The 9,245-nt window shown below is 48.6% G+C and overlaps 1 protein-coding gene across 2 annotated transcripts in view, besides 1 other annotated feature; it reads left to right on the forward strand.

Annotated features, from left to right (window-relative positions):
* Positions 1-4,607, forward strand: part of CRISPLD2 (cysteine rich secretory protein LCCL domain containing 2) — an 89,524-nt gene extending 84,917 nt beyond the window's left edge. For both annotated transcript variants that reach the window (XM_005256190.2, NM_031476.4), the window contains one exon: positions 1,687-4,607. In XM_005256190.2, coding sequence (XP_005256247.1) covers positions 1,687-1,741 — 55 coding nt within the window. In that variant the 3' untranslated portion in view covers positions 1,742-4,607. The remainder of the gene's footprint in view (positions 1-1,686) is intronic.
* Positions 5,254-5,369: a silencer, noted in NCBI's record as "fragment chr16:84943761-84943876 (GRCh37/hg19 assembly coordinates)". NCBI's record gives its function as "represses an EF-1alpha promoter that drives an FKBP-Casp9 reporter gene in an ReSE screen in K562 erythroleukemia cells {active_cell/tissue: K562}" and the evidence as "EXISTENCE:reporter gene assay evidence [ECO:0000049][PMID:32094911]".

Below are 9,245 nucleotides of genomic sequence, written 5' to 3' on the forward strand. Positions count from 1 at the left end.
AGATATGACGCCAAAAGCACAATCTATAAATGAAAACAAATTGATAAATTGTATTCTATCAAAGTTTAAAACTTTTATGCCTTAAAAGACACCATTAGGCCAGGCACGGTGGCTCACACCCATAATCCCAGCACTTTGGGAGGCTGAGGCAGGAGGATCACTTGGGCCCAGGAGTTTGAGACCAGCCTGGGCAACATAGTGAGACTCCATCTGTACAAAAAATAAAATATATCAATCAGGCTTGGTGACATGCTGCTCAGGAGGCTGAGGAGGGAGGATCGCTTGCACTCAGGAGGTCAAGGCTGAAGTAAGCCACGATCATGCCACTGCACTCTGGCCTTGGTGACAGACCTTGTGTCTAAAACAATTTTTAAAAATTGTCTAACACTGGATTGTGGAGATGACTGCACAACTCTATAAAATCTCTAAAAACCATTGAATTGTACACTTAGAAAGGTTGAGTTTATACGGTATGTTAAACTTAATAAAGTTGGTTTGGTTTTTTTTTTGTTTTTTGAAACAGAGTCTCACTCTCTTGCCCAGGCTGGAGTGCAGTGGCAGAATCTTGGCTCACTGCACACTCCACCTCCCACGTTCAAGTGATTCTCCTGCCTCAACCTTCAACTAGCTGGGATTACAGGTGCACACCATCATGCCTGGCTAATTGTTTGTAGAGGCAGGGTTTCACCATGTTGGCCAGACTGGTCTCGAATTCCAGACCTCAAGTGATCCACCTGCCTTGGCCTCCCAAAGTGCTGGGATTCCAGGTGTGAGGTGTGAGCCACCGTGCCTGACCAATAAAGCTCTTTTTTTTTTTTTTTTTTGGAGACAAAGTCTTACTCTTGTCCCCCAGGCTGGAGTGCAATGCCTTGATCTTGGCTCACTGCATCCTCCGCCTCCCAGGTTCAAGTGATTCTTCTGCCTCAGCCTCCCGAGTAGCTGGGATTACAGGCGCCTGCCACCACATCCGGCTAATTTTTGTATTTTTCGTAGAGATGGGGTTTCACCATGTTGGCCAGGCTGGTCTCGAACTCCTGACCTCAGGTGGTCCACCCGCCTCACTCCCAAAGTGCTGAGGTTACAGGCATGAGCCACCGCGCCTGGCCTAAAGCTCTTTTTTAAAAACCATCTTTGATTAGCTGAAGGATTTAACTCCTCTTGTGAGAGGGCAGTTTTTACTAGCCATGGGACCCTGGGTAAATCTCTTTATTTCCTGGTGTCTCCGTTTCCTCCCCTGTGAACGAGCGATAACAGCTCCCTCAGGAGGAAGGTGGAAGGCGGTGAAGCACCTGGCATATGCAGTAGTGCTGAGATAGCACCTGTTCATCTCTCCCAAGACACCACTGTTCGGGTTGACAGGTGGTAGTGAAACCAAGCAGAATTCTCGGAGGGTGAGTCCAATCCAGACAGACTGGGTCCAGCAGATCCCTGAGTTAAAAGGAAATAACTTAACAGCCTTGACCTAGAATCAGATGGATGCTCATGTGCAGAGAAAATGGGATTTGCCACCTGTTCTCAACTCAAGGCAGGCTCTGTGTCTGGCGGCTTCAAGGAAGTGTCCCTTGGCCATGGCTCTTCCACTACGGGAGCAAGCAGGAGGCACCCAGGTCTCCCTGCCCACCCAGAGTCCCTGCAGGAGGCCCTCCAGATCTCTCAGTAACGGGCCCTCTTTCTTCTTTTTTTCAGCCTGGGGACTCCTCGGGATGGAAAGGCCTTCCGGATCTTTGCTGTCAGGCAGTGAATTTCCAGCACCAGGGGAGAAGGGGCGTCTTCAGGAGGGCTTCGGGGTTTTGCTTTTATTTTTATTTTGTCATTGCGGGGTATATGGAGAGTCAGGAAACTTCCTTTGACTGATGTTCAGTGTCCATCACTTTGTGGCCTGTGGGTGAGGTGACATCTCATCCCCTCACTGAAGCAACAGCATCCCAAGGTGCTCAGCCGGACTCCCTGGTGCCTGATCCTGCTGGGGCCTGGGGGTCTCCATCTGGACGTCCTCTCTCCTTTAGAGATCTGAGCTGTCTCTTAAAGGGGACAGTTGCCCAAAATGTTCCTTGCTATGTGTTCTTCTGTTGGTGGAGGAAGTTGATTTCAACCTCCCTGCCAAAAGAACAAACCATTTGAAGCTCACAATTGTGAAGCATTCACGGCGTCGGAAGAGGCCTTTTGAGCAAGCGCCAATGAGTTTCAGGAATGAAGTAGAAGGTAGTTATTTAAAAATAAAAAACACAGTCCGTCCCTACCAATAGAGGAAAATGGTTTTAATGTTTGCTGGTCAGACAGACAAATGGGCTAGAGTAAGAGGGCTGCGGGTATGAGAGACCCCGGCTCCGCCCTGGCACGTGTCCTTGCTGGCGGCCCGCCACAGGCCCCCTTCAATGGCCGCATTCAGGATGGCTCTATACACAGCAGTGCTGGTTTATGTAGAGTTCAGCAGTCACTTCAGAGATGTATCTTGTCTTTGTCAGGCCCTTCGTCTTCATGGCCCACCTGTTTTCTGCCGTGACCTTTGGTCCCATTGAGGACTAAGGATCGGGACCCTTTCTTTACCCCCTACCCGTTGTGGCTCCCACCCTGCCTCGGACTGGTTTACGTGTCCTGGTTCACACCCAGGACTTTTCTTTGCAAGCGAACCTGTTTGAAGCCCAAGTCTTAACTCCTGGTCTCGTAAGGTTCCACTGAGACGAGATGTCTGAGAACAACCAAAGAAGGCCTGCTCTTTGCTGCTTTTAAAAAATGACAATTAAATGTGCAGATTCCCCACGCACCCGATGACCTATTTTTTCAGCCGTGGGAGGAATGGAGTCTTTGGTACATTCCTCACCGAGGTTAGCAGCTCAGTTTGTGGTTATGAAACCGTCTGTGGCCTCATGACAGCGAGAGATGGGAATACACTAGAAGGATCTCTTTTCCTGTTTTCGTGAAACGACTCTTGCCAAACGTTCCCGAGGCGCCAAGGAGTGTAGTACACCCTGGCTGCCATCACTCTATAAAAGTGCTTCATGAGCCCAGACCAAAAGCCCACAGTGAAATGAAGTACCCTTTTGTAAATAGCATTTTTTTGCAGAAGGTGAAAATTCCACTCTCTACCACCGGGCCAGCCAATAGATCACTTTGGTGAATGCTAGTTTCAAATTTGATTCAAAATATTTCTTAGGTGAAAGAACTAGCAGAAAGTCAAAAACTAAGATACTGTAGACTGGACAAGAAATTCTACCTGGGCACCTAGGTGATGCCTTCTTTCTTTGATTGCCTTTCTAATAAATGCAGAATCTGAAGGTAAATAGGTTTAAAACAAAACAAAAACCCACCCCTTTAAGGAGTTGGTAAAAAGCAGTTCAACTCTTAGCTTGACTGAGCTAAAATTCACAGGACTACGTGCTTTGTGCATTGTAGTCTAGTCGTAATTCATAGGTACTGACTCCTCAGCCCCAAATGTCGGAGAGGAAGAATTCGGTCAGCCTGTCAGGTCGTGAGTCCAGTTACCACCAAACATCTGGGAAACTTCTGGGTGCTGGGTGCTCTGCTGCTGGACTTTTGTGGCTGTGTCTGTGTCTGCAAGATAAATTAGATCGCCCTGTGGGGTTTGCAGAATTAGTGAAGGGTCCAGGACGATCCCAGTGGGCTCGCTTCCAAAGCATCCCACTCAAGGGAGACTTGAAACTTCCAGTGTGAGTTGACCCCATCATTTAAAAATAAAGTCCCCGGGTTCCTTAATGCCTCCTTCACTGGGCCTTCCTAGCAGGATAGAAAGTCCTTGCCCAGAGCAGGACCTGGCTGTCTTTTTTTTTTTTTTTTTTTTTTTCCCGAGACCAAGTTTCACTCTGTTGCCCAAGGTAGAGTGCAGTGGCGTGATCTCTGCTCATTGCAACTGCCGCCTCCCGGGTTCAAGCAATTCTCATGCATCAGCCTCCCAAGTACCTGGGACTACAGGCGTGAGCTACCATGCCCGGCTAATTTTTGTATTTTTAGTAGAGATGGGGTTTCATTATGTTGGCCAGGCTGGTCTCGAACTCCTTACCTCAGGTGATCCACCCACCTTGGCCTCCCGAAGTGCTGGGATTACAGGCATGAGCCACTGCGCCCGGCCATGGACCTGGCTGTCTTTATCATCCCCACAAACATTTTGAAACTGGAATATTTGTCTTCAGAAAATGGAAACAAGACTATAAATGATAAGCCCTGTCCCTAGCACCACCTCTCCTGTGTGTGGAATAGAGGCCCCTCGTGCTACCAACACTTACCCTGTGTTTAAAAAGATCTTGTACCAAGCCAACGGCGTTCCTGGCTCTCCTGCCCACAGGATGAACATTTTCGGCTTCCTTAGGAGTTTTGCCCTACCGTATTCCAAAGCGTGTGCTGGTTTCTCATATTGTCTGTAGGCTCACTCAGCCCGCAGTTTATGTGTGTGCTTTTTTCTATGAAAAATGATGTATTTTGCTACTTCCTGTGTACAAAGTTTTATTGTAAATGTTTTTTGTGCTTTGCATGAACAGGGGCCACGTTGTTGCAATTGTTTCAGTAGAACTGGTTTGATTTCTAAAATGTTCCTGTAACATATCTTTTATGAACAAATCTGAACAATTTGTGAAATAAAACATTGAAAACCATCTTTCAGGCTCTGGACTGTTTTGTGTTGGCTGCTTCTGCTAGGATGTCTCATATACACAGAGATGCTGACAGCCAGGGCCTGGTGGAGACCTCCACCCCATCCGCGGGAAGGAGGGAGGAGCTTGCCAAAATGCAATTTCGGGCTCAGCAAGGCTGGGTTGGGGCCAGGGACTGTGAATTTCTCCCAAGATCCTGGTGATGCGAATGCTGCCAGTCCCCAGATCACACTCTGAGTGGTGGTGGGCTCAAGGCCATTCTGTCTAAGCTCCGGCTGCCCTAACAAAATACCATAGACTGGGTGACTTAACCCACAGAGATATCTTCCTCACAGTTCTGGAGGCTGGAAGTCTAAGATCAGGGTGCCAGCAGCGTTGGTTTCCTCTGCGGCCTCTCTTTGGTTTGCAGGTGGCTGCCCCTGGCCGTGTCCTCACATGGCCTTTCCTCTGGGCATGTACACTCCTGGTGTCTCTCTCTCTCTCTTATAAGGACACCGGTCATATTGGGTCTGGGCCCCACCCTTAGGACCCATTTAACCTGAATTACCTCCTTAAAGGCCCTACCTTGAAATACACAGGCTGGCTCATGCCTGTAATCCCAGCACTTTGGGAAGCTGAGGCAGGAGGATCACTTGAGTCCAAGAGTTCAAGAGCAGTCTGGGCAACATGGGGAAACCTTATCTCTACAAAAAAAATACAAAAATTTGCCGGGCATGGTGGCGCATGCATGTAGTCCCAGCTACTTGGGAGGCTGAGGCAGGAGAATTGCTTGACCCTGGGAGGCAGAGGTTGCAGAGAGCCAAGATGACACCACTGCACTCCAGCCTGAGTGACAGAGCGAGACACACACACACACACACACACACACACACACGAAAGAAATACATTGGGGGTTAGGGATCGTTTTGTGTGGTTACAATAAGGAAATGATCAAAGTACGATTTCACAAATCACACAGTTTATTGCTACACAAAGATGTTTTTTCCTTAGGTTCCCAGTGCTTAAACAGGGAGAGAATGAGACCAAACCTCACAGAGAATACACTCGACAGACGAAGCCCATTAACCCCACAGTGGGTCAGTTCCAGAATGATCAAGGCCTACTTGCTCACTTAGGATGGAAGCAGGCCTCAGTTTGAGGTGCACCTTCTACCAGCCGTTCTTGGAAGCGCTGTAAGGTCCCTAGAAGGCAGTTCCAGCGCTGGCCAGAGGCTTCTGAGAGTAGCTCCAAGGCTGGCGGGGTGACCTGTCACAGCTGGAGCTCCCAGCTTTGGGAGAAGATGCCGAGGGTGCAGCCGGCCACAGCCAGAGCTCCCAAAGGGTCCGTCCCACTGGCAGGTTTGCATGTGTATGGAAGTCCAGTCGTGAGGGTCAGGAGCTCGCAGACGGGGTCCGATAAGGGGTGAGGCCACATTCTCCAGGGAAGAAGGGGCACACCAAGTTCTTAGCGCAGCAAAACGCGTCACCCACGTAGCAACCTGTGGAGGTGTCTGGAATCATTTCAAAGCCCTGTGGGCCGGGCACAGTGGCTCGTGTCTGTAATCTCAGCACTTTGGGAGGCCGAGGTGGGTGAATTGCTTGAGGTCAGGCGTTCGAGACCAGCCTGGCCAATATGGTGAAACCCCATCTCTACTACAAATACAAAAATTAGCCAGGCGTGGTGGTGCACGCCTGTAATCCCAGCTACTTGGGAAGCTGAGGCAGGAGAATGGCTTGAACCCAGGAGGAGGAGGTTGTGGTGAGCCGAGATCGCGCCACTGCACTCCAGCCTGGGCAATACAGTGAGACTTTATCTCAAAAACAAAACAAACAAAGAAAACCCTATGTGTTCAGGGTGGGAAATTTAGTTCGTAACGGTCACCTTCTTCCCAGGCATCAGCCCAAAGCAGCCCCTTTTCACCAAGCGCAGTCACATCTCGCTGAGTGCCTCAATGCACCAAAGCCCCAGAGCAATTTGGGGGCACGGGGCCGGCCTTTCCTCTCCCCGGTGAAGGCGCCTGCCTTCCTCTCAGGCTCATCTCTAGTGCGGTCCTTTTCCATGCGTGATGGGGATAGCTTTCCTCTTTAAGAAATACCAGGCTTTTAAAATGTCCATTTTAAAATGTTGAGTAAGTTAAGATTGTGCAGGTCAATTGCAAAAATCACCAAGATTGGATAATAAGGGCTGAAGTTTGCGAAACACTTCCGGCTCTGCCCACAGCATCCTCAGCGTATGGCATTTGTCCTGCGACATACAGATGGTTACTGCTCCTAATATCATTATTTTGACCAATGCATTTGGCATTCCCTGCACTGTTTTCTCCTCTAAAAGTGTCTCCCAGGCCTTCACTGCTTCAGCCACTGCTCTCCTGCCTTCTACCCCAGGGAAGGGAGGCCACAGCTGAATAGCAGGAACAAAGGGGTCAATGTCAGCTTTCGAGTTTCTAAACTGACTTCTTGTTTGTTTGTTTTGAGACAGTCTCACTCTGTCACTCAGGCTGGAGTGCAATGGTGCAATCTAGGCTCGCTGCAACCTCTGCCTCCCAGGCTCAAGCAATCCTCCCACCTCAGCCTCCTGAGTAGCTGGGACCACAGGTGCACGCCACCACGCCCAGCTCATTTTTGTACTTTTTGTAGAGACGGGGGTTCACCATGTTGCCCGGGCTAGTCTTGAACTTCTGGGCTCAAGCGATTCTCCCGTCTCAGCTCCTAAAAGTGCTGGGATTACAGGCACAAGCCACCACACCCCGCCCGTTTGTTTTTCAACTTTTTTATTTTGACACAATTTCAGACTGGCAGAAAAGTTGCAAGAACAGTACAAAGAATTCCCATATACATTTCATTCAGATTCCCAGACACTAGCATTGGATTGCATTGGTCATTTTCTTCCTCTATCTCATTTCTAAATTATTTAAGAGAGAATTGCAGGCATCACACTCCTTTTATCTCAATACTTTGAGTGTATATTTCCTAAGAATGAGGACATTCTCTTACATAGCCATGATATAATTCTCTAAATCAGGAAATTAACATTAGTGCAATATATCATCTAATCTATATACTTTGTCCAGATTTTACCAGTTGTCTCAGTAACGTCCTTTATGGCGAAAGAGAATCTCAGGTCATGAGGTATATTCAGTTTTCTTTTCTTTTCTTTTTTTTTTTTTGAGACAGGGTCCTAATCTGCTGTCATCCAGGCTAGAGTGCACTGGCACAATCAGGGCTCACTGCAGCCTCAATCTCCCGAGCTCAAGCAATCCTCCCACCTCAGCCTCTGGAGTAGCTGGGACCGCAGGTGTGTGCCAACACGCCCGGCTAATTTTTGGTTTTGGTTTTGGTTTTATTTTTTTGTAGAGATGGGGTTTTGCCATGGTGCCCAGGCTGATCTCAACTCCTGAGCTCCACTGATCCTTCTACCTCGGCCCCCAGAGCCCTGGGATTACAGGTGTGAGCCACTACCCCAGGACGCTTTGATGTCTTTTTAGTATCCTTGCATCTGGAATTGCTCCTTAGTTTATCTTTGCCTCTCCTGTGTGTGTGTGTGTGTGTGTGTGTGTGTGTGTGTGTGTCTGTGTGTGTGTGTGTGTGTGCAGTGGCATGATATCAGCTCACTGCAACCTCTGCCTCCTGGGTTCAAGCGATTCTCCCACCTCAGCCTCCTGAGTAGCTGGGATTACAGGCATGTGCTACCAAGCCCAGCTAATTTTTGTATTTTTAGTAGAGCCGGATTTTCACCATATCGGTTAGGCTGGTCTTGAACTCCCGACCTCAGGTGATTGGCCCACCTCAGCCTCCTAAAGTGCTGGGATTACAAGCGTGAGCCACTGGCCCCAGCCTATCTTTGCCTTTTATGATGTTGACTTTTTTAGTTAAAGATAGCTGGCCAATATTTCGAAGAATGTCCCTGAACCTGAGTTTGTCTGGTGTTGCTTCACCATGAGGCTCAGGGTATACACTTTTGGCAGATACCGCAGGGGAGACACTGTGTCCTTCTCCGTGGCTCGTATCAGAAGCCGCATCTGTTTGTCCTGTTCCTGCAGCTGCTGACTCTGATGGCTTGGCTGAGGCATCTGGCAGATCTGTCCACTGCGAAGTTCCTATTTATTTAGAGACAGGGTCTGGCTCTGTTGCCTGGGCTGGAGTGCTGTGACATGAACATGGCTCAATGCAGCCTCCTCCTCCCCTGGCTCAGGTGATCCTGCCACCTCAGCCTCCTAAGTAGCTGGGACCACAGGTGTGTGCCGTCATGCCCGGGTAATTTTTTGTATTTTTGGTAGAGACAGGGTTTTGCCATGTTGTCCAGTCTGGTCTTAAACTCCTGGACTCAAGCATTCCACCTGCCTCAGCCTCCCAGAGTGCTGGGATTACAGACGTGGGCCACTGTGCCTGGCCTCTGTTTTTTTTTAAACTAAGTAATTATCTTCTGGAGAGATATATTGAGACTATGTAAATAGCCTATTCCCCATAAAAACTTCACCCAGTAGTTTTTGCCTCTATTGATGATTCTTTCTTGAGACAAGTATTTTATGATGGTTGCCAAAGGTGAACTTTCTAACTCCACTGTGCTTTCCGCATTTATTAGTTGGCGTTGTACTGTAAGGAAGAGATTTCCCTTTTCCTCCATTTATTTATTTATTTGCATACACACATGCATATGTGTGTG

This window comes from Homo sapiens, chromosome 16 (assembly GCF_000001405.40).
Source record: "Homo sapiens chromosome 16, GRCh38.p14 Primary Assembly".
In the NCBI taxonomy this organism is placed as follows: domain Eukaryota; kingdom Metazoa; phylum Chordata; class Mammalia; order Primates; family Hominidae; genus Homo; species Homo sapiens.